This window comes from Homo sapiens, chromosome 2 (genome assembly GCF_000001405.40).
Source record: "Homo sapiens chromosome 2, GRCh38.p14 Primary Assembly".
Taxonomy (NCBI): Eukaryota; Metazoa; Chordata; class Mammalia; order Primates; family Hominidae; genus Homo; species Homo sapiens.
Window position 1 is genome coordinate 215,915,050 of NC_000002.12, and position 25,628 is coordinate 215,940,677.

The following is a 25,628-nucleotide window of genomic DNA, read 5'->3' on the forward strand; positions in this document are numbered from 1 at the left end:
CCAGGTTCAAGTAATTTTCCTACCTCAGCCTTTTGAGTAGCTGGGACTACAGGTGCCTGCCACCACACCTGGCTAATTTTTTTCTTTTTCTTTTTTTTTTTTTTTTTTGGATTTTTGGTAGAGACAGGGTTTCACCATGTTAGCCAAGATGGTCTTGATCTCCTGACCTCATGATCTGCCCACCTTGGCCTCCCAAAGTGCTGGGATTACAGGCGTGAGCCACCATGCCCAGCCAGGATGGATTTTTTATGAATGGCTTGACACTGTCTTCATGGTCATGAATAAGCTCTCGCTCTATTAGTACCAGCGAGAGCTGGTTGTTTAAAAGAGCCTGGTACCGCTCCTTTCTCTCTCACGTCCTTTCTCACCCATGTGATTTCTGCACACGCCAGCTTCCCTTCATCTTCCACCGGGAGCAGAAGCAGCCTGAGGCTTTCAGCAGATACCCAATCTTCCAGCCATCGGAATCGTGAACCAAATAAGCATTTTTTTCTTCATAAATTACCCAGCCTCAGGTATATCTGTATAGAAACTCTAAATGGACTAAGACACTACCCACAAACGTTTCATCCTGGCTTGCTGAAGTTGTTCGAAGAGGAAGTTACAGATCAGTTTCTTTTCCTGAAAGTACAGTCTGTTACCTCAAACAAAGTGTGACTATCAGACAATCAAACATATATAAATAAAGCAAAAAAATGTAAAATACTTTGAAATGGACCAAAGTTATTGTAAGGTGTCTTCAGTGGAGAACTAGACATTGTCTAAATACATCATTTCAAGTTATGTGATTCTATGAGGCCTCTGTGCCTTTCCTTGACTTTCAGTGTTTTACAACTCTTTAAGTTGTGGATAATTGGTAGTGACACAAACAGTTCTTTGTCCATAAACATGCAAGTCAATTTTGTTCTCTGAAAATACACCATTGGTTTTCCTCCCCCACTGTGGAATGAGACAGTTTTGCATCTATTTGTAAATTTATTGCAACGTCGTTTGCTGGTTCTTTAAATTTTCCTTTGAACTAGTTGTAACATCTTACTAGTTCTTTCATTAATTAATGATTTAAATAAAATCTCTAATGTGTATTGATTTTATATTTGAGATTTGTGATTCTATTCTATTTTGGAAATTATAAAACCCAGAGAACAGTACAAAATTGTTCTTTACTTTCCTCATTGAAGAATCCATGGAGTCCACCTCAGGCGGTCAAAGAACCCCTCCTGTCTGGTCTCTACCTTGTTCTCTCCTCACTTCCACTCCTAAAGTCTTCTCAGTCTTTTTAGCCATTTACCCTTATGTCAGAGGTATTTCAACCAGTATAACTCCATCTTGAATAGGAGGTGGGTAAAATGAGGCTGAGACCTACTGGGCTGCATTCCCAGACAGTTAAGGCATTCTTAAGTCACAGGATGAGATAGCAGGTCAGCACAATATACAGGGTATAAAGACCTTGCTGATAAAAACAGGTTGCAGTAAAGAAGCTGGCAAAACCCACCAAAACCAAGAGGGAGAGAGACCTCAAAACCCACCAAAACCAAGAGAGAGGCCTCTGGTTGTCCTCACTGCTACACTCCCACCAGCGCATGACAGTTTACAATGACAGTTTACAAATGCCATGGCAACTTCAGGAAGTTACCCTATGTGGTCTAAAATAGGTTATGGAGAAATACCAATGGTGTATTTACAGAAAACAAAATTTACTTGCATGTCTATGGACAAAGAACTGTTTGTATCACTACTGGTTATCTACATGCCTATATGGCATGAATAATCCACCCCTTGTTTAGCATATCATCAAGAAATAACCATAAAAATGGGCAACCAGCAGCCCTCGAGGCTGCTCTATGGAGTAGCCATTCTTTATTCCTTTACTTTCCTAATAAACTTGCTTTCACTTAACTCTATGGACTCACCCTGAATTCTTTCTTGCACGAGATCCAAGAACCTTCTCTTGGGGTACAGGTCGGGACCCCTTTCCTGTAACACTTAGGGCAGATTCTTAGGCAGCCAATTCTATCTGAAAGGAGAAGAGGAGAATATTTTAATTCTTTTGTTCCCTCAGCATATTACAGCTACAAAAATTAAATAAATCTTCCCAGTGCTAGTATTCGTGATCCATCAGTCCAAAATTCGAGTGTGTTATGCTATTTCCAGTAGTCAAAGATCCCTTCGGTGAAAGGGGAGGAAGAGCAGTTAAAACTCTATTCTGCCACTCTGTATTGCCTTTCATCTTTTATTAAAATGACAGGTTGCTAATTTGTCCTTCCATTAATGAGAATGTTTTTTGTTTGTTTGTTTGTTTTGAGACAGGGTCTCGCTCTGTTGCCCAGGCTGGAGTGCAGTGGTGCGAACTAATGAGGATGTTTTTAACTGATCCCCACTCTTTCATCTCATCTATTTTATGGCTTGAAATGAGTTCAGGTCATTAATTGAGCATTTACTATAGGGTAGGCATTGTTTTATTTGCTGGGAATTCATAGACCTCAAAGAGCTCACAGTTTGAAAGGGTCACTTTCACATAAATGAGTATTTATAATACAATGTAGCCATGCAGCACATAATAAACCTGTACATTTTCAGGACAACTGTTCTGCAGGAGACGTCCAGCCTGTGGCTAGTTAACGCAACTAAAGTTTCAGCAAAGCACTCAAGCGTAAGGTCCTTAAAGTTTTTCTCATTAAGTTTTTGTTTTTTTGTTTTTGTTTTTGAGATGGAGTCTCGCTCTGTCGCCCAGGCTGGAGTGCAGTGGTGCCATCAGGGCTCACTGCAAGCTCCGCCTCCCAGGTTCACGCCATTCTCCTGCCTCAGCCTCCCGAGTAGCTGGGACTACAGGCGCCCGCCACCACGCCCGGCTAATTTTTTTATATTTTTAGTAGAGACGGGGTTTCACCGTGTGTTAGCCAGGAGTCATTAAGTTTTAATAAGTCCAACCATCTCCAGACCAGAACCCCTCTGAATATGAAATAGGAGAAGTGAGATATCTCACACAGTAGCTATCAAGTTACTACTCACAAGCCAGAAAATGTCAGGGCTTACTTTGGCTTTCAAGTTCACAGTTCCATGAAATACAGAGTTAGGAAGGCTATCTTGATGAGCATTCTTCATTGGACCTCTCTGCCTTTGGACTTTTCTCTGCCTTGGACATTCGGGGAGCTGTTCTGCTTGGGGGTGCCTTTGTTAAGTGAAATGGGCAATTCATTTCCCTGACCACCAAGAGACATCCAGAATTTGTCATGTTTTATGAGTAATTTTGAAAGTGCTTACTAGACCTCCCTCCCTTTTCAACTGCTCAGGCTCAGTAAGCTTTTAAACTTTCTATTTCGTTACAGTACAAACAACTCTACAAGCAGGCCTCCTGCTTCTCCCCTCAGGCTATGCAGAATTATTCATACTCAAGGTCTAAAGAGGAACATCAGCACGAAGGAAAAACAGACTAAAGAGTGAAAACAAATTAGCAATCCAAACAGCTCTCTCCCAGCCTGTCACTGGAAGGCCTTTGGTGTCTCATTCCAGAGTCAAGGGGTTTTCTGAGTTGAAGATTAAAGGATACATTTTCAGGGCTCAGAGAACAGACAATCTGTGAAATGCATATTCACCCAAGGCAGCCAGAACAAGGTGCGCATATGAAGAACCGGGATGGGCCTTCACCCCAAACCAGATGAGCCTTGTATGGATAGTCGGTATTTTGCACCCACTGGGCTCGAGTCTTTCATATTTTATTCATGCTTGGGTAAGGAAAAAAAGAAAGAAGAAAGAAAGAAAGAAAGAAAAAGAAAGAAAGAAAGAAAGAAAGAGAAAAAGAAAGAAAGAAAGAAAGAAAGAAAGAAAGAAAGAAAGAAAGAAAGAAAGAAAGAAAGAAAGAAAGAAAGAAAGGCCATTAAGCTCTCTTTGGGAATGTGGGAAATCTTATCTTAGTTATTCTCAACCAGGGTGATTTTGCCCCACAAAGAAACATGTGGCAAGTGTCTGAAGATATTTTTGATGGTCAAAACTGGCACTGGGAGGTGTTGCTGGCATGTAGTGGGTAAATAAGAAGGAGAAGGCTGAGCACCCTGTGAGGCACATGATGACCCCCACAACTAAGATTTATCTGTTCCAAGATGTAGTTAGTGCAAAGGTTGAGAATCTCTGCCTTAAAATGTAAAGCAGTAAAAACAGAACGTTAAGAAAGCTCCTCCCTCTCTCATGTGTATATTTGTGTATGTCTCTGTTTCCATCTCTCTCTCTCACACACACACACACACACAAACACACTGCCGGCTTCATAGGGGTGAAACCTATGCACATGAGCAGGGTCCCATACTCAGAACAGTTCCTGTACTTGATGTAATCCTCTGCTTCACTATCTTGAAATTCTCAATAATTTTGCATGAGAGGCCCCATATTTTCCTTTTGCCCTGGGCCCTGCACATTACGTATCTGGCCCTGCATGCAAATGCCTGTGCAAGAGACACTCAGCATTTCATGCAGTAGAACCATATGTTCTCCACTACCCTCTTTTTTCTCCCCTAACATTCCACTTTATTATAGTAGTGCATGCTTTCATTCTGTTTTTGAAACCTCTCTTTGGGTTATGGCAGAGCCAACGCTGGAAAATAGACGTGTGTCATGGATTCTGAAGCGTCTGCATATTTTCTTCTTGCCCATCAAACTCTCTAGAAAATCCATACAGGGCACCAAGTGGCAGTCAGCAGATCGTGCGACATAAAAATTTTCTCAAAGACGCTGGAAAGAAGCTGCAGAGGCTTTTCTTTCCTGCAAGGGCAGCAGGGCTCTGCTCTGATCGTCCTTGCAGAGATGACAAAAATGATCCAGGACAAGAATCTTAATATCTGTAATCTAATAAAATCTACTTTCATGTCCATCCTCTTCTTGCCAGTCCTTTTTCATTCAATGTTCTGGATTGTTCACAAACCTATGAATAAGCTTAAAACCTATTAAAAACCTGCAAGGCAGGAACCATCACTTTGCTTCTTGTTAATCACTTTTAATCTACTACCACAAGTCAATCAGCAACAATTTACTGAGCAATTGTGAAGGGATGGAAGACCCTATCTGCAAACAATCTTGTTCACTTTTACAAATGGATCCCTTAAAATGTCCTGTTACTGGAAGGATGCGGACCTCTCAGGGCTCTAGAAGAAGCACCTAAGTGGATTATCTATGAGGCCTACATGAAAAACCAAACAAGAGCAACAATAAATTTGTTTTTTGAATACTGTGCAGTATGACAAACCCTGCCTAAGAGATCCGGGTCTGCATACACGTGTCTCTACTGCCATCTTCTGACGAGCCATCCAGCACAGCCATCCATTAGCGTCTGCCACTTGGGAATCCCTCTGAGCACTTTAGAATTGAACTTACAAAGTAAATGGGCTTTGAAAACAATATTAAAGCACAAATCATAGTCGCTGCCACACTAGTAAACAGTTGAGAACATCAATAATAATTTTTAAGTTTGCAGGCAATTCAACTTAAAACAGTACACATGGAGCAGAATTCCTCACTGTAGTCTGTGAGCAGACAGCCTTGACTGAACAGTGGGACTCTTCAGGGACCCAGGCAAGGACTATGGGAAAGTCCAAGGGAAGAGTCAACAGGCTGTGATCCTAACAGCTCAAATTCTTTTGGAATTTTTGTTTGTCTGTTCCTATGAGGGGAAAAAAGACCAAAGCTCTGAGTCTGCTTTTCTGGGTAAAGTAGAAATACAGCCAATGTTCCTACTTAGGCATCACCTGAGACATGCCTAGTTCTCCTTTCCCTTTTGTTCCTAAAAGCACAGACCAGATTGGCAATAATAACAATGATGGTGATAATGTGGATTCCTCAAGGGTAGAAACCTCATTCTATTCACTGCTGCATTCCCATGACTAGAACAGCAATTCATAGTAGACATTCCAAAGATACGTTTCTTGCAGAGACATGGATGAAGCTGGAAACCATCATTCTCAGCAAACTAACACAAGAACAGAAAACCAAACACTGCATGTTATCACTCATAAGTGGGAGTTGAACAATGAGAACACACGGACACAGGGCAGAGGGCATCGCACACCGGGGCCTGTCGGGGAGTGTGGGGGCTAGGGGAGGGATAGCATTAGAAGAAATACCTAATGTAGATGACGGGTTGATGGGTGCAGCAAACCACCATGGCACATGTATACTTATGTAACAAACCTGCACGTTCTGCACATGCATCCCAGAACTTACAGTAAAAAAAAAAAAAAAAAAAAAAGATACATTCTTAACAAAGGGGCAGTCATAGCTATCATTGACTGATGATGTATTTTATGCTAAATCCTTTACAGTTCTTATCTAATTTAACATCTATAGTAACCTATGAAGCATGTCTTATTATCCATGTGTTGGGTTTTTTTTGTTTTTTGTTGTTGGTGGTGGTGTTTTTTTTTTGTTTTTTGTTGTTGGTGGTGTTGTTTTTTTTTGTTTTTTGTTGTTGGTGGTGTTTTTTTTTGTTTTTTGTTGTTGTTGGTGTTGTTTTTTGTTTTTTGTTGTTGGTGGTGTTGTTTGTTTTTTGTTGGTGGTGTTGTTTGTTTTTTTTTGTTTTTTGTTGTTGGTGATGTTGTTTGTTTTTTTTTGTTTTTTGTTGTTGGTGGTGGTGTTTTTTTTTGTTTTTTGTTGGTGGTGTTGTTTGTTTTTGTTTTTTGTTGGTGGTGTTGCTTGTTTTTTTTTGTTTTTTTTGTTGTTGGTGGTGTTGTTTTTTGTTTTTTGGTGTTTTTTTTTTTTTTTTTTGAGACAGGTCTCCGTCTATCACTCAGGCTGGAGTGCAGTAGCGCAGTCATGGCTCACCGCACCCTCGACCTCCCAGGCCCAAGCAATCCTGCCATCTCAGCCTCCTGAGTAGCTGGAACCACAGGCACATGCCACCACACTCAGTTATTTTTTAAATTTTTTGTAGAGATGAGGTCTCACTGTGGTGCTCTGGCTGGTCTCGAACTCCTGGGCTCAATTGATCCTTCCGCCTCAGCTTTCCAAAACACTGGGATTGCAAGCATGAGCCACATTGCTGACCTCCATGTGTTTTTGATGGAGAGTGAATCACCAGACTTGGCAGATGGCCAGACTGGCCAGAGAGGAATGAATTTATGTTGAGTTGAATAAGCTATAGCCCATGAAGAGGTGGCTACATAAAAATAATAATAAACCTCCATTATTGAGAAATTACTATACACCAGGACGGTGCTTAGCATGATCTTATTTACTCCTAGGAAAAGCTTGATGAAATAAATCTTACTTGGTGTCAGGCCTCTGAGCCCAAGCCAAGCCATCGCATCCCCTGTGACTTGCACGTATATACGCCCAGATGGCCTGAAGTAACTGAAGAATCACAAAAGAAGTGAATATGCCCTGCCTCACCTTAACTGATGACATTCCACCACAAAAGAAGTGTAAATGGCCGGTCCTTGCCTTAACTGATGACATTACCTTGTGAAAGTCCTTTTCCTGGCTCATCCTGGCTCAAAAAGCACCCCCACTGAGCACCTTGTGACCCCCACTCCTGCCTGCCAGAGAACAAACCCACTTTGACTGTAATTTTCCTTTACCTACCCAAATCCTATAAAACGGCCCCACCATTATCTCCCTTCACTGACTCTCTTTTTGGACTCAGCCCGCCTGCACCCAGGTGAAATAAACAGCCATGTTGCTCACACAAAGCCTGTTTGGTGGTCTCTTCACACAGACGTGCACGAAATCTGGTGCCGTGACTCGGATCGGGGGACCTCCCTTGGGAGATCATTCACCTGTACTCCTGTTCTTTGCTCCATGACAAAGATCCACCTATGACCTCAGGTCCTCAGACCGACCAGCCCAAGGAATATCTCACCAATTTTAAATCAGGTAAGCGGCCTCTTCTTACTCTCTTCTCCAACCTCTCTCACTGTCCCTCAACCACTTTCTCCTTCCCACTCTTCAATCTCTCCCTTCTCTTAATTTCAATTCCTTTCATTTTCTGGGAGAGACAAAGGAGACACGGACACGTTTTATCCGTGGACCAAAAACTCCGGCGCCGGTCACAGACTAGGAAGGCAGCCTTCCCTTGGTGTTTAATCATTGCAGAGAAGCCTCTCTGATTATACACTCATGTTTCAAGGGTGTCAGACCACGCAAGGACGCCTGCCTTGGTCCTTCACCCTTAGCGGCAAGTCCTGCTTTTCTGGGGAAGGGGCAAGTACCCCAACCCCTTCTCTCCTTGTCTCTACCCCTTCTCTGCTTTTCTGGGAGAGGGGCAAGTACCCCTCAACCCCTTCTCCTTCACCCTTAGCGGCAAGTCCCGCTTTTCTATGGGGCAAGAACCCCCAATCCCTTATTTCCACACCCCAACCTCTTATCTCTGTGCCCCAATCCCTTATTTCCGTGCCCCAACCTTGTATCTCTGTGCCCCAATCCTGTTTCCGCGCCCCAACCTCTTATGTCTCCGCGCCCCAATCCCTTATTTCTGCACCCCGACCTCTTATCTCTGTGCCCCAACCCCTTTTCCCACTTTTCTGGAAGGTAAGAACCCCCGAACCCCTTCCCACCATTTCTCTACTCTCTCTTTTCTCTAGGCTTGCTTCCTTCACTATGGGCAACCTTCCACCCTCCATTCCTCCTTCTACTCCCTTGGCCTCTGTTCTCAAAAACTTAAAACCTCTTCAACTCACACCTGACCTAAAACCTAAATGCCTTATTTTCTTCTGCAATGCCGCTTGACCCCAGTACAAACTCGACAGTAGTTCCAAATAGCCAGAAACTGGCACTTTGAATTTTTCCATCCTGCAAAATCTAAATAATTCTTGTCATAAAATAGGCAAACGGTCTAAGGTGCCTGACGTCCAGGCATTCTTTCACACATCAGTCCCTTCCTAGTCTCTGTGCCCAATGCAACTCGTCCCAAATCTTCCTTCTTTCCCTCCCGCCTGTCCCCTCAGCACCAACCCCAAGCGTCGCTGAGTCTTTCTAATCTTCCTTTTCTACAGGCCCATCTGACCTCTCCCTTCCTCCCCAGGCTGCTCCTCACCAGGCCGAGCTAGGTCCCAATTCTTCCTCAGCCTCCGCTCCTCCACCCTATAATCTTTCTATCACCTCCCCTCCTCACACCTGGTCCGGCTTACAGTTTCGTTCCCTAACTAGCCCTGCCCCTCCTGCCCAGCAATTTACTCCTAAAAAGGTGGCTGGAGCTAAAGACATAGTCAAGGTTAATGCTCCTTTTTCTTTATCCCAAATCAGAAGCGTTTAGGCTCTTTTTCATCAAATATAAAAACCCAGCCCAGTTCATGACTTGTTTGGCAGCAACCCTGAGACGCTTTACAGCCCTAGACCCTAAAAGGTCAAAAGGCCGTCTTATTCTCAATATGCATTTTATTACCCAATCTGCTCCCGACATTAAATAAAACTCCAAAAATTGGAATCTGGCCCTCAAACCCCACAACAGGACTTAATTAACCTCACCTTCAAGGTGTACAATAACAGAAAAAAGTTGCAATTCCTTGCCTCCACTGTGAGACAAACCCCAGCCACATCTCCAGCACACAAGAACTTCCAAACGCCTGAACCGCAGCGGCCAGGCGTTCCTCCAGAACCTCCTCCCCCAGGAGCTTGCTACACTTGCCGGAAATCTGGCCACTGGGCCAAGGAATGCCCGCAGCCCGGGATTCCTCCTAAGCCACGTCCCATCTGTGTGGGACCCCACTGAAAATCGGACTGTTCAACTCACCTGGCAGCCACTCCCAGAGCCTCTGGAACTCTGGCCCAAGGCTCTCTGACTGACTCCTTCCCAGATCTTCTCGGCTTAGCGGCTGAAGACTGACACTGCCCGATCGCCTCGGAAGCCCCCTAAACCATCAGGGACACCGAGCTTCGGGTAACTCTCACAGTGGAAGGTAAGCCCGTCCCCTTCGTAATCAATACGGAGGCTACCCACTCCACATTACCTTCTTTTCAAGGGCCTTGTTCCTTTGCCTCCATAACTGTTGTGGGTATTGACGGCCAGGCTTCTAAACCTCTTAAAACCCCCCAACTCTGGTGCCAACTTAGACAATACTCTTTAAAGTGCTCCTTTTTAGTTATCCCCACCTGCCCAGTTCCCTTATTAGGCTGAGACACTTTAACTAAATTATCTGCTTCCCTGACTATTCCTGGACTACAGCTATATCTCATTGCCGCCCTTCTTCCCAATCCAAAGCCTCCTTTGCGTCCTCCTCTTGTAACCCCCCACCTTAACCCACAAGTATAAGATACCTCTACTCCCTCCTTTGCAACCGATCATGCACCCCTTACCATCTCATTAAAATCTAATCACCCTTACCCCACTCAACGCCAATATCCCATCCCACAGCACGCTTTAAAAAGATTAAAGCCCGTTATCACTCGCCTGCTACAGCATGGCCTTTTAAAACCTATAAACTCTCCTTACAATTCCCCCATTTTACCTGTCCTAAAACCAGACAAGCCTTACAAGTTAGTTCAGGATCTGCGCCTTATCAACAAAACTGTTTTGCCTATCCACCCTGTGGTGCCAAACCCATATACTCTCCTATCCTCAATACCTCCCTCCACAATCCATTATTCTGTTTTGGATCTCAAACGTGCTTTCTTTACTATTCCTTTGCACCCGTCATCCCAGCCTCTCTTCGCTTTCACTTGGACTGACCCTGACACCCATCAAGCTCAGCAAATTACCTAGGCTGTACTGCCGCAAAGCTTCACAGACAGCCCCCATTACTTCAATCAAGCCCAAATTTCTTCCTCATCTGTTACCTATCTCGGCATAATTCTCATAAAAACACACGTGCTCTCCCTGCCAATTGTGTCCGACTGATCTCTCAAACCCAAGCACCTTCTACAAAACAACAACTCCTTTCCTTCCTAGGCATGGTTAGCGCGGTCAGAATTCTTACACAAGAGCCAGGACCACACCCTGTAGCCTTTCTGTGCAAACAACTTGACCTTACTGTTTTAGCCTAGCCCTCATGTCTGCGTGCAGCAGCTGCCGCTGCTTTAATACTTTTAGAGGCCCTCAAAATCACAAACTATGCTCAACTCACTCCCTACAGTTCTCATAACTTCCAAAATCTATTTTCTTCCTCACACCTGACACATATACTTTCTGCTTCCCGGCGCCTTCAGCTATACTCACTCTTCGTTGAGTCTCCCACAATTACCGTTGTTCCTCGCCCAGACTTCAATCCGGCCTCCCACATTATTCCTGATACCACACCTGACCCCCATGACTGTATCTCTCTGATCCACCTGACATTCACCCCATTTCCCCAAATTTCCTTCTTTCCTGTTCCTTACCCTGATCACACTTGATTTATTGATGGCAGTTCCACCAGGCCTAATCGCCACACACCAGCAAAGGCAGGTTATGCTATAGTACAAGCCACTAGCCCGCCTCTTAGAACCTCTCATTTCCTTTCCATTGTGGAAATCTATCCTCAAGGAAATAACTTCTCAGTGTTCCATCTGCTATTCTACTACTCCTCAAGGATTATTCAGGCCCCCTCCCTTCCCTACACATCAAGCTCGAGGATTTGCCCCACCCAGGACTGGCAAATTAGCTTTACTCAACATGCCCCGAGTCAGGAAACTAAAATACCTCTTAGTCTAAATAGACACTTTCACTGAATAAGTAAAGGCCTTTCCTACAGGGTCTGAGAAGGCCACTGCAGTCATTTCTTCCCTTCTGTCAGACATAATTCCTCAGTTTAGCCTTCCCACCTCTATACAGTCTGATAACAGACCAGCCTTTATTAGTCAAATCAGCCAAGCAGTTTTTCAGGCTCTTAGTATTCAGTGAAACCTTTATATCCCTTACGGTCCTCCGTCTTCAAGAAAAGTAGAACGGACTAAAGGTCTTTTAAAAACACACCTCACCAAGCTCAGCCACCAACTTAAAAAGGACTGGACAATACTTCTACCACTTTCCCTTCTCAGAATTCAGGCCTGTCCTCGGAATGCTACACGGTACAGCCCATTTAAGCTCCTGTATAGACGCTCCTTTTTATTAGGCCCCAGTCTCATTCCAGACACCAGACCAACTTAGACTGTGCCCCCCACCAAAAAAAAAACTTGTCATCCCTACTATTTTCTGTCTAGTCATACTCCTATTCACCGTTCTCAACTACTCATACATGCCCTGCTCTTGTTTACACTGTTTTTCCAAGCCATCACAGCTGATATCTCCTGGTGCTATCCCCAAACTGCCACTCTTAACTCTTGAAGTAAATAAATAATCTTTGCCGGCAGGACTCTGCCGAATCTCCTTAAGCACTCTCTAATCAGATATCCTGAGTTGTCCCAATTCTTAGACCTTTTATACCTGTTTTTCTCCTTCTGTTATTCCATTTAGTTTTTCAATTCATACAAAACCATATCCAGGCCATCACCAATCATTCTATACAACAAATGTTTCTTCTAACGTCCCCACAATATCACCCCTTACCACAAGATCTGCCTTCAGCTTAATCTCTCCCACTCTAGGTTCCCACGCCGCCCCTAATCCCGCTTGAAGCAGCCCTGAGAAACATCGCCCATTCTCCCTCCATACCACCCCCCAAAAATTTTCGCCGCCCCAACACTTCAACACTATTTTGTTTTATTTTTCTTATTAATATAAGAAGGCAGGAATGTCAGGCCTCTGAGCCCAAGCCAAGCCATCGCATCCCCTGTGACTTGCACGTATATACGCCCAGATGGCCTGAAGTAACTGAAGAATCACAAAAGAAGTGAATATGCCCTGCCTCACCTTAACTGATGACATTCCACCACAAAAGAAGTGTAAATGGCCGGTCCTTGCCTTAACTGATGACATTACCTTGTGAAAGTCCTTTTCCTGGCTCATCCTGGCTCAAAAAGAACCCCCACTGAGCACCTTGTGACCCCCACTCCTGCCTGCCAGAGAACAAACCCCCTTTGACTGTAATTTTCCTTTACCTACCCAAATCCTATAAAACGGCCCCACCCTTATCTCCCTTCGCTGACTCTCTTTTCGGACTCAGCCTGCCTGCACCCAGGTGAAATAAACAGCCATGTTGCTCACACAAAGCCTGTTTGGTGGTCTCTTCACACGGACGCGCATGAAACTTGGCATTGCCATTTTACAGATGAAGGCCAGGAAGTTTCAGCAATCTGCCCAAGTTAGGAAGTGGAGAGCTGGAGGTCCCACCCAGGACTGCCTCGTGGATGCAGCTTCTCTTGCCCTCATAGCTTCTCTCTCGTGATACATGTTAGGCTGTCCTACTTCCTCCAGGAAGTCACCCCACGTTCTCGTGAGCCAACAATACCATTCTTCACACATCAACAATGTGAGCCAACTCCCACATAAAATGCCGACCAACAGACCAACTGCAGGGCATTTCATCCCGAAATATGTAGCAGCTGGATACAGAACAGAAAGAGACACGAGGTGGAGACACGAGGGTTCAGGCTGGTTTGTCTACAGTGGAATGGAGTCTCCTAAACTCAATGGCAAAGGTCACAGGATGGTCAGCTGTGAGAAGAGAGCAGGGAATCAAGGGCAGCAGCTTGTTTTGTCCTACAAACACTGTCCTAAAAACACTGCAAAATTCTCATGTTGAAACAAAACTCCTGGATATCTACACAAAAATCTGCACACAAATATTCCTAGCAACATTACTCATAATACCCCAAAAGTGGAAACCACCTCACTATGAACGGAGTGTCTCCAAAATTCATATGTTGAAGTCTTAATCTCCATTGTGATGATATTTGAAGGTGGGGCTTTGGGGAGGTAATTAGGGAGAAGGAGGAGCCTTTGCGAATGGAATTGATGCCGTTAGAAGAAGAGACAGGAGAGAGATCATCTCTCTCTGCCACAGGAGGATCCAGCATAAAGATGGCGTCCTGCAAGAGCTCCCTCACTGAGCACTGAATCAGCCAGCCGCTTGATCACAGACTTCCAGACTCCAGAACTGTGAGAAATAAACGTCTGTTGTTTAAGCCACTCAGGCTGAAGCGAGTGTTGTGGCAGCCAAACAGACTAAGACAAACCCAAATGCCCATTAACTGATAAATGGATGCATAAAATGTTATAATATTGTATGCAATATTATTTCATAAAAATGAAGGAAATTATTCCACAATACAAAGGAATACAATTATGATTCATGCGACAATACGGTTGAATCTTCAAGACATTATACTAAGTGAAAGAAGTCAGGAACAAGGGTCCCATATAACCATAGGTTCCACTTACACAAACGTCCACAACACATAAATCTAGAAACAGAAACTACGTTAGTGGCTGCCTAGGGTTTAGGATGAGGAGGGTAGATGTGAAGAATGAAGGAGGTGTGACTGCAATAGGGTACAGTTTCTTTTAGGGTAATGAAAATATTCTAAAATTGATTGCAACTCTGTGGATATGCTGAAAACCATTGAATTATATACTTAAAATAGGTGAATTGCATAGTATGTGAATTATACCTCAATGAAGCTGTTACCAAAAAAACCCCCACAATATTCTACTTAGAATATTGTGCTTAGAAACAAAATAAGTTCTCCAATTGTTGGGGGTCTGGGGAGGAACTCATGGTGTTTCATCAAAATGATCCAAAATTGATTCTGTTCTGATCTAGCCTCTTCTCCCAGACATCCTTAACTCAGCAAATGGCCCCACACTCTGCCACAGCTAGAAAGCTATGAGTCATCCTTGATTTCTCCTCTTCCTGCACCATCCCCCAAATTCAAATGCATCAGCAACTCCTGTCCATTACCTCTCCAAAATACACCTCACACTTCACCCATTTATGCTCCTCCTCAATGCCACCAACCTAGTCCAAACCATCACCCTCTCTCAATTCTGACACATCTTGTTCCCATTCTTGCCATCCTCTGATCCATTCGCAATGCATGGCAAGTTATTGTTTCACAACATAAGTCAGCTCCTGGCTCTCCAAGGCAGACACCCTTCTCTGGTCGCACAAGGCAGGAACTGAAGATCCACCCTTCCTCGTGCCTCCAGCGCTCTGCTCATCATGACCCCCTAAGCTACTCCAGACATGCTCTGCTCCCTTTCGCCCTCAGCTATGCCAAAGCCTTTATCGCCTCCAGCCCTTTGCACTTGCTGTTCCCTCTGCCTGGGCCCCTCTTCCTTCACATCTTTGCATGACTGACTGGCTGTGACTCATCCTTTAAGGGTCCCAACTCAGACCTCTCTCAGAGAAGAGGCCCCTGACCACCCTGTGCAGAGGGGCCCCACTCAGTTCCACCTTATCTCATCCAGTGTTCCTGTTACAGCACTGCTTGCAAATTGTAGTTACCTTGTTTGTTTGTCTACTCTGTTCTCATCTGCCTTACCCACTAGAAACTGGATCCAATCTTTTCTTTTTATTCAAACACCTTCTATAAATATTTGCTTTTTGTTTTTGTTTTTGTTTGAGACAGGGTCTCACTCTGTTGCCCAAGATGGAGTGCAGTGGCGCGATCACTATGAAAAGATCAGGTCACAGGGATACAAAGACGACCAGGATTTGTAGTTGACCAGGATTTGGTGCTACCCTAAAAGAGGTCTTCTTTTCTGGGGGACAGGGACACAGTAATGTAAACGTGTATTTCAATGCAATATGATAAATGTTCTGAGTACTTTTGCTATTGAAGCACAGAGATAAAGCTCTCTCCAAGTCTGAGTCATATTTGTTCTGGAAGAATCAAGGAATTTTGAAGACAGAAAAATGAAGCAAGGGCTCTCCGGTTTTATTTGCAATGTTCTGTGTTTCCAAATCACTTTTAGTAATCTGCCTTTTGAGAGAGGCATCCCCTTTACCACCCTGCCTAAGAGGAAAATTAATTCGATAATTATTTAAAATTTGGTAGGTTTCAAAGGAATGGGTATTTGGAGCACACTTCACTAGTCTTTCCCCTTTTGTTTTAAAAATTTGCCAAAGTAAAAAGTTGCTTTAGAAAGTAGAAAACCAATAATGACACTAGCAACCTGGAATGCAGTAGAGGCAGCTATCCGGCATATCTCAGATTATAATATTCAAATACATGCCGAAGACAAACACAATTTGGCATGCTACAGAACTAGAGAAACAGGTAGGCCTGAGAGTTACTTGAATTTTTTCTGGGGCAGAAACTCAGAAATCCAAAAATGATCTTATTTACAAGCCTTTAGTCTGAGTTGACCTTTCTTCTTTAAAAGACATCGATGCCCTTTCGTTGTTTCATTTTCTGCCAATTTCCAAATGTTCTCCAAGAAAAAGACAACCTCTGAAATTCACCAAAAAATGAATAAATAAAAACCCTCTAAATCAATCACTAAATGAGGAAAAATAGACAGAACTTCGTTAATTGACTCAGGCTTTTAAAAATTGTCTCTCCTGATGGGGACTGAGGGATGAGATCTTGAAGCTCACAGAACACAGAGTGAGTCAACAGCGGCATCTAGTGTTCAATCAGAATCCTGCAAAGCCCCTCGTTGGAGATGGGAGGATCTGTGTGTTATTGTAAGAGGCAAATCAGTTACATTTATCCACTCGTGGAAATCATTGAGAAGCACTCACCCGAGTGTTTATGGTGCTGCTTCCATAGATGTTCACAGGAGAAGGACGCAGGTTGTCCTAATTCCAGAGAGACGGAACATCACACAGCCTTGGCATGCATCTCACCTGCATCTCAGCCTCATCTCAGCTTCCCCTCAGACTCAAACTCAAAGACAGGACTATGTGCCTGAGAGTCCCTGAAGGGCAGAAGCCCTCTAAGGTGGTTTATCAGCCTTCTCTGGAGTAAACGGAATAGATTGTGTTAATTGTTGGAAATAATCCTGCTTTTGCCTTAACTTTTTTCTGGACACCCTGAACTCTTCAGTGAATAGTGAATTCTGGGGAAACTATTTAATCGGCTACAATCTATAAATAAGGGGTGATTTTGGATCTGTGTATGCCAGTGATTTTCACCATTTTTCCCCAGCAATGAAATGATTTAAGGGAAAAACATGAGATATTTGGAATGACAATGTTACAAAGAATAGATACATATACATAATCTATAGCTGATCTCTTTAAAGGGGGGTTGGTGTAGAAAAACCAGACCTACAGGCACTCAGCCATCCAGAACTCCCACCCTTCCCTTGCCTCTCCTCACCCCACTCTCCTTGGCCCCCCACCCTATTGGCCCCAGCCCCGTGCCACTCCCAGCTGCTGAGGCTTATCTGCAGAGACCTAGGTCCTCCTAGAATAACAGAAGCCTTTTAAACTTGGATCTGTTTTCTTTAGGAGAAAAGTGACAGAAAGGCACCCAACAGACCTGGGCAAAGGATACAAGGTACATTAATACAGGTTAAGATGTAACCTAGCGGACACAGAGAGCTACAAAAAGGGGGAGGCTTAGCAGCATTTTGGCAGTTGGAAAGACAAGCTTCCCTTGTTTTCTATACCCACCAAGGTGCCCTGCCTTCATCCTCACCACTTTGCTGATGGCATTATGTCTTTGGCTGAGGATGCCATCAGATCCTTTGGGAAATTCTCCTTGCCATTCTGAGAGATTTTATACCCTCCTGAGCCCTCCCGGGGGCTGCCCACCTGTCTGCCCATAGATGCAAGTTACTGGTGACAGTGCCAGCAAAAATCTGAAGGTTTACTGAAAGGAGAGTCAGTGGGCAGTATCTTCCTAACACCATGTGCCTTGGAGCTTCCTCTATAATTATTCATTCATTCACTTCATTCACTGAGAAAGCATAATTGGGTATATTCCAAACTACCCCAACCAAAAGGCCAGCATTTGTTATGGTTGGAAACTACTTGTTTACCTAGATTATAAAAATAATAAGCCCGGGCACAGTGGCTCATGCCTGTAATCCCAGCACTTTGGGAGGCCGAGGCAGGTGGATCACCTGAGGTCAGGAGTTCACGACCAGCCTGGCCAACATGGTGAAACCCGTCTCTACTAAAAATACAAAAAATTAGCTGGGCATGGTGGTGAGCGCCTGTAATCCCAGCTACTCAGGAGGTGGAGGCAGGAGAAACACTCTAATCCGGGAGGCGGAGGAAGTTGCAGTGAGCCAAGATCGTGCCATTGCACTCCAGCTTGGGCAACAAGAGTGAAACTCCATCTCAAAATAATAGTAATAATAACAGCATCTTCTAAACAACAAAAAGCCTGGAAGCCAGCCCTTATGGCTGAAATGTCATTTGTATGGCTTATCAGAGAATAAAATGAAGATTCCTCTCCATCTCTTTCACTCAGTAAACTATGTGTCAGATGTATGTCATTCTTACTCAAAGCTTATTAATGATAGGTAACACTGAGCAATTGCCACAAGACGGGCTTTCTTCTCAATACTTCATCTCGGGATTTCTCAATCTCAGCATGACTAGTATTTTGGGATGTACAGTTCTTTGTGATGGGGGCCTGTATTAAGCATTGTAGGATGTTTAGCAACATCCCCGGCCATCCACCACATGAGAATTGCTTCCCCCAACCCCTGCACCAGTTGTGACAGCTAAGAATGTCTCCAGATATGGCCAAATGTCCCCTGGGGAGCAAAATTGCTCCCCTCCCCTGTTATATAAGAATCATTACCTTGACCAGGTGCAGTGGCTTATGCTTGTAATCCCAGCACTTTGGGAGGCCAAGGCAGGGGGATTGCTTGAGTTCAGGAGTTCGAGACCAACATAGTGAAACCCCATCTCTACTAAAAAATACAGAACATTAGCTGGGCATGGTGGCACATGCTTGTAGTTCCAGCTACTCAGGGGGGCTGAGTTAGGAGGATTGCTTGAGCCTGGGAGGTTGAGGCTGCAGTGAGCCCTGATGGTGCCACTGCACTCCAGCCTGGGTGGCAGAGCAAGACCCTGTCTCAAAAAAAAAAAAAAAAAGTCACTGCCTTATAAATTAATTATATAATTCATGCAAAAATCTATACAGATTAGATGGTTTTATTTCTCCTGTTTTAAGTTGACAAAACCAAAGCACAAAAGGTTGTATAACTTTCCCAACTGTACACAACTAAACTCATCTTAGATGAGCACTCCAGCTCCAGAGCCTATGCTCTCCACCACTCTGTTCCATTCTCCTCTAAATTCCAAGCCCCAGTTTATTAACCAGAATCAGCAGAACTCTCAGAAGAGCTGGTAATTTCCCTGGCACCATCACTGTCTTGGGTGGATGTGCTGCCTCTTCCAGAGGCCTGGACAGTAAAAAGAAAAACAAGAGTTAAATCAGATCTTTTCAACCTTGCCCTCATGTGTGAAACTACATTTCTCAGGACATCTCAGCTAAGAAGTTACTATAAAGTTTCAAGAGCCATCACAAAACAAAATTTCTCCAGTTTCATCTCAACTCACTGTGGCCACCCTCACCACCTTTAAATTCCTTCCAAAATCTTTGGGCCCCTGATTTACTCAGAAACCACAGCTGGAACCACTTCAAGTGGGATCTTAGTGGGTGCCGTGTGAATTGATCAATTCCCATGCACTAGCTCATTTAAACTTTATAACAAGTATTTTACCCATTTAACTATAGGGGAAACTAAGGATTAAAGTGATTAAATAACTTGCCCAAAGTCACTCACATTATTAGTCAGTATTCTTCCAAGAAACATAATCAAAATGAGAAATCTATCTATCTATCTATCTATCTATCTGTCTATCTATCTATCTGTCCATCTATCTATCTGTCCATCTATCTAGGGTCCATAAGACATTTTGATACAGGTATGCAATGCATAATAGTCACATCATGGAAAATGGGGTATCCATCTTTCAAGCATTTATCTTTCGTGTTACAAACAATCCAATTACACTCTTTTAGTTACATTAAAATGTACAATTAAACTATTATTGCCTATAGTCACCCTGTTGTGCCATCAAATACTAGATCTTATTCATTCTTTCTAATTTATTTTGTACCCATTAACCAGCCCTACCTTCCCCTCAAACCCCTTCTCCACTACCCTTCCCAGTCTCTGATAACCATTCTTCCACTCTCTACCTCCATGAGTTCAATTGTTTTGATTTTTAGATCCCACAAATAAGTAAGAACATTCAATGTTTATCTTTCTGTGCCTGGCTTATTTCACTTAACATAATGACCTCCAGTTCATCCATGTTGTGCAAATGACAGGATCTCATTCTTGTATATATGCACCACATTTTCATTATCCATCCATCTGTTGATGGACACTTAGCTTGCTTCCAAATCTTGGCCATTGTGAACAGTGCTGCAACAAACATAGGAGCGCAGCTATCTCTTTTTGATACACTGATTTCCTTTCTTTTGAGTATATACTCAACAGTGGGATTGCCAGATCATGTGGCAGCTCTATTTTTACCTTTTCGAAGAAACTCCAAACTGTTCTCCATAATGGTTGTACTAATTTACACTCCCACCAACAGTGTATGAGGGTTCCCTTTTCTTCACATCCTTGCCAGCATTTGTCATTGCCTGTCTTTTGGATATAAGCCCCTAAGACATCTTCAGACATGCCTGAATCCTTGAGTGGACACAACATCCAGTCTTTCTCCAAAGGTGCTCCAGAGATCACCTGCATCAAACTATCCTGGAGCAGGAAGCATGAAAGCTGTCTAGTTTCTCAGGCAGGTGATCAAGGTCAACACCATCATACTAAGTTGCCTTGTTAATGTGTAACCTTTATATGATGTGATGAAAATGACACTTCATCTCTGTGGCCTCCCCCCAATCTAATCACAAGAAAAATATCAGACAAATCCCAATTGAGGTATATTTTTACAAAATATTTGGCCAATACTCTTCAAAAACATGGACAGTCCAAGACACTATCATGCCCAAGAGGAGGAACCTAAGGAGGCATGACAACTAAATGTAATGTGGCATTAGGTAAAAACCAAGGAAATAGGAATGGAGTAGAGCCTTTAATTAATAATAATGTATCAATATTGGTTCACTAGATATGACTAACCATACTCATGTGAGATGTTAATAACATGGAAAACTGGTTGTGGGGTATATGAAAACTTTCTTTTTTTTTTTTTTTTGACACAGTTTTGCTCTTGTTGCCTAGACTGCGGTACAATGACATGATCTCCGCTCACTGCAACCTCTGCCTCCCTCATTCAAGCGATTCTCCTGCCTCAGCCTCCCTAGTAGCTGGGAATACAGGACCCCGCCACTACACCCAGCTAATTTTTTGTATTTTTAGTAGAGATGGGGTTTCACCATGTTGGCCAGGCTTGTCTCGAACTCCTGACTTTAGGTGATCTACCTGCCTCGACCTACCGAAGTGCTGGGATTGCAGGCATGAGCCACTGCACCCAGCTCATGAAAACTTTCTGCACAATCTTTGCAAATTTCTATAAATGTAAAACTATTCTAAAATAAAAAGTCTATTAAAAATGCCTATTTTCAGGCCTCATGCTAGTCCTTCAGAATTACACTATCCTGAGTGGGATGCAGACACCTACATATCTAACAAGACCCCCAGGTCTGAAAACTAATTTAGGATTAGCTGGAACTCCTACTACACTCAGAAGGCAACACCCTTGCAGCCACCTGCTCAGCTGCCCAAAAGAAAGGTGCAGAAGCTTCAACAGAGACGAAGTTCAGGATACTAAAGAGTAGATACTTAGCTTCTAGAACACAGCAGCCAGTTCCTTTGTCTCGTGTATTATATTGCCATCAAATGCCTCTGAATAGAAATCATCAGTTCAATTTTTGCCCCAAAATTGGATTTGAACCTCTTGCAGTAATGATGCTAATAAAATTACCTCTAATAAGATATCTAAACTGCATTTTTGCACTCTGCCATTAACAAAGTAAAACACTTAATGGTTAATTTGTCCTGCATCTTGGCTCACCACTGTATCTCTCAAAGAGTAACAAAACCAGCCGGGCAAGGTGGCTCATGCCTGTAATCCCAGCACTTTGGGAGGCCGAGGCGGGCAGATCACAAGGTCAGGAGATCGAGACCATCCTGGATAACACAGTGAAACCCCGGCTCTACTAAAAATACAAAAAATTAGCCAGGCCTGGTGGCGGGCACCTGTAGTCCCAGCTACTCAGGAGGCTGAGGCAGGAGAATGGTGTGAACCCGGGAGGCAGAGCTTGCAGTGAGCCGAGATTGCGCCACTGCACTCCAGCCTGGGCAACAGAGTGAGACTCCGTCTCAAAAAAAAAAAAGAGTAACAAAACCAATATTTATAAAAGTTGTCCATGGCTCTGGAAATTTTTCATCAGGCTTGAAAGAGCTAAGTAACTACTCCTCTGTAACAGATTTCTGACATGAATATAACGAAAATACTGCCATTCCTTACTTGAATTAAGATACATCAGGACCAAATTATATTGCAAAATGTAGCAGTAACATGCAGCAACATGCAAACAGAACATGATGAAGCGGAAAGACAATTAAACTTGAGATCATAGTCACAGGTAGTAGACCATGTTGCAGTTACCAGCTTTGTGGCTTCTGAGGAGTTACCTGAACCCACATTAGCAAAACGATCAGTTTGGAATAGAAGACTTGTAAGATCCATTTGAGCTCTGGAGTTTTCACTATGGAATCTCAAAGCCAGGAGTTAGTCTTGCACCCAATATCACAGTGCTAAAACTTGGATTTGTAAACTCAAAATAATTTAGAACATAATTCAGAAACTAATGATAAAAGGTAAATGTAAAACTTGAGCATCTTTGTCCTTGAGAATTATGTCCCACAACATGAACTCAGCCAGTATCAAAGGCATTCAAAGATGCCTTTCAATCCATTTTGCCTCTATTACAAATGCTGCCATGTGAGACAGAGACCCAAGGATAAAAGCTGACAAGTAGTAGAGAACAGAAAAGCCCCATAAAACAGATGTTTTAAACATGAAGCAGGTGTTGATGTTTATTTATACCTGGCTGCTGCATAGATTGACATTCTTAAAATTTCAAAGTAGAGTTTCTCCCCCACAGACAAGGGACAATGAAAACAAATAGACAAGTCACAAAAGAAATAAAAATGGTAAACAAGCATATGGAATAATGTTCAACCTAACTAATAAACATGCAAATTAAATCAACAAGGAGGTACCAATTTTTTTCTTACCAATTTTTTTACTAGTGTATTTTTCTGTGATGACAAAGATATAGTGAAACTATATTCTCATACATCACTGGTAAGTGATAGCATAAATTTGTACAGGTCTTTTGGAAAATATGTAATGATAAGCATAAAGAATGATTTATATATTCATGACCTTTGATTCTGCAATTTCACTAAGAACACAGGACAAAGCAATATGCATGAAGATGTTCACTGCAGAGAAAAATTGGAAACAGCCTCTAAAAGTCCAGAAATAGATGAAAGATTGTAAACTTTGTTACATCTACTCAAATATTATATAGCTTTGTAAAAATGATGTTCTCAGAGGCTATTTAGTAACATAAAATGTTTATGACTTGTGAAATGTGGTAAACTACCAGATCATATATATACACACACATATATATATATATCTTTGGCTTATGCAATGTTTTTAAAATTTTAATTTAGTGAACATTTCCATACTGAGAAAATTTACACAAAAATATGTTTGTTTGGCTCTACTCAAAAAATCAGAATAACTGGCAAAACTGAGCCCTCGTACATGACAATTATTTGCAGCTGAGTAGTAACTCTTCCCTTTAGGACAAAAAATATATAACCCCCTTTGATCTACAGTCCCAATCCAATGGCTCGTGGAAGCATTTGAGTTCATAATCCCTGACCTAAATTTAAAAATCAGGGTTTAAAATTATACATATAGGCCAGGCACGTGGCTCTTACCTGTAATCCCAGCACTTTGGGAGGCTGAGGTGGGCGGATCACCTGAGGTCAGGAGTTTGAGACCAGCCTGGCCAACATGGTGAAACCCCGTCTCTACTGAAAATACAAAAATTAACCAGCCGTGGTGGCAGGTGCCTGTAATCCCAACTACTTGAGAGGCTGAGGCAGGAGAATTGCTTGAACCCGGGAGGCAGAGGTTGCAGTGAGCCAAGATTGCGCCACTGCACTCTACCCTTGGCGACAGAGCGAGACTTCATCTCAAAAAAAAAAAAAATTATTATTATACATATAAATTTTAAATATGCACATAAAAAAGAATGAAATATCCCAAATTGCTACGAATGCTTGGTTGTCTTACAGTTCTGATATTATAGTTGATTTTTTTTTTAATTTTCTGCACTTCTCTTTTATTTGGAAAATGGGTTAGAAATTAGAAATTAGAAACCTGAGCCAATGTGACCTCTCAGTAAATGTCCAGTCTTTTAGTAAATACCAATAATCTCCAGCAACAAAAAAAATAAAGTGAAGACGATATATTTATTTCCCCATAATCTTGTGACCAGGTGGCGTGTTACAATGAAAGCAAGTGTTGCCCCAAATTCTTCTAAACGTACAATTGTTATTGGCCAGAAATTCTACCTTTGCTTCCTGTAATCCCAAATAAGTCCTCCTTTCTGTTCTCAGCCACAAATATTGAAATAAAAATGGCAGTGAAAGTTTCATTCTTAGGCAGACACAACAATATTCCAATAATAAGATCCGACAACATATCGTCAGGTGTGTGAAGTAGGCAGATAAAAAACAAATGGAGCTCTAGGCCTTGAGTACTGCTGGGTTTGACAGATTTTTAGTATCTTCTTCCTAAAAAAGGTGATGGAAACCAGACAGAAAAGTATTCCTAGTATCATTTACACAGCTTAATAAACTTTCGGATACAAATTTTGATGAAGATAATTGAAATGATTAAGCAACCATCTCTAGAAAGTGGATTCCTGATTAAGATACTTCAAATGCTAACTATATGTCTCTAGAATATATGATAAAGTTCAGTTACACATATGCATAATTCACACTACATGTTTAAAAATGTTTAAAATAAATTGCTGCATAAAAACTACAGATGTTTTTTTAAAAAGTAATGATCTATAGGCCTAAGCTTCCTCTAGCTATTATGTCATTATTTTATTTCTGTATTTCTAATTCTATTCTCTCCAAATTTATTATCTTTAAATACTTAGAACATAGGTGAGAAACAATATCAAATAAATCCGCTATAGCTAATAAGTGATTAAATGATGAGACTCAAGCTAAAATCTGGTTGCCTGACTTAGTTCTCCACAACCCAGTGTTCTAAATCCATATGTTTAAGTGACTTGAAAACTGGATACCCAAATGTCCATCCATAGTGTGTCAAAACAGAAGATGGAAGAATATTCTAGAAGTTAATAACACTTGCTGAAACATTGTAAATAGCAAGTTCAAAGTGGCTACCCATTTTCATCCTGTACGTAGTTGTGATTTAGAAGTTATGAGAGTATACTCCCTTCACTGCAAAATATTTCTTGTGATATTAGTAATAGAAAGTGATCCGAGGAAATGAATAAATACATTAATTCAATGGAAAGGAAGCCAGGGTTGTGCCATGATCCCTCTCTGGGCATTGGAAAATAGTCAGATAAATTGGTTTCTGCTGCTACCACTGCAGTTCTTTTCCAAAAGTTACTGCCATTAGTCGGATAACTCCTAGGGAAACTTAACATTTAATGTCTTCACTAAAGAAAGGACACTTGATGATGGTCTTGAAAAACCATCACATTGGAAAATATGTGATAGTGATTGTATTGGCAACTCAGATACTGTCACAGTTGGGTTCCCTGAGGGAAATTAT

At 42.4% G+C, this 25,628-nt stretch overlaps 1 protein-coding gene across 1 annotated transcript in view, besides 3 other annotated features; it reads right to left on the reverse strand.

Moving 5' to 3' along the window:
* Positions 6,872-7,511: an enhancer, noted in NCBI's record as "OCT4-NANOG-H3K27ac-H3K4me1 hESC enhancer chr2:216786644-216787283 (GRCh37/hg19 assembly coordinates)". NCBI's record gives its function as "activates a minimal SCP1, AML or CMV promoter by ChIP-STARR-seq in naive and primed H9 embryonic stem cells {active_cell/tissue: H9 hESC(naive and primed)}" and the evidence as "EXISTENCE:reporter gene assay evidence [ECO:0000049][PMID:30033119]".
* Positions 7,512-8,152: an enhancer, noted in NCBI's record as "OCT4-NANOG-H3K27ac-H3K4me1 hESC enhancer chr2:216787284-216787924 (GRCh37/hg19 assembly coordinates)". NCBI's record gives its function as "activates a minimal SCP1, AML or CMV promoter by ChIP-STARR-seq in naive H9 embryonic stem cells {active_cell/tissue: H9 hESC(naive)}" and the evidence as "EXISTENCE:reporter gene assay evidence [ECO:0000049][PMID:30033119]".
* Positions 12,562-13,088: an enhancer, noted in NCBI's record as "OCT4-NANOG-H3K27ac hESC enhancer chr2:216792334-216792860 (GRCh37/hg19 assembly coordinates)". NCBI's record gives its function as "activates a minimal SCP1, AML or CMV promoter by ChIP-STARR-seq in naive H9 embryonic stem cells {active_cell/tissue: H9 hESC(naive)}" and the evidence as "EXISTENCE:reporter gene assay evidence [ECO:0000049][PMID:30033119]".
* MREG (melanoregulin) overlaps positions 24,259-25,628 on the reverse strand; it is a 94,789-nt gene continuing 93,419 nt past the window's right edge. The window contains exon 8 of the transcript XR_001738843.2: positions 24,259-24,601. The gene's annotated coding sequence lies outside the window, so the exon portion shown is untranslated. The remainder of the gene's footprint in view (positions 24,602-25,628) is intronic.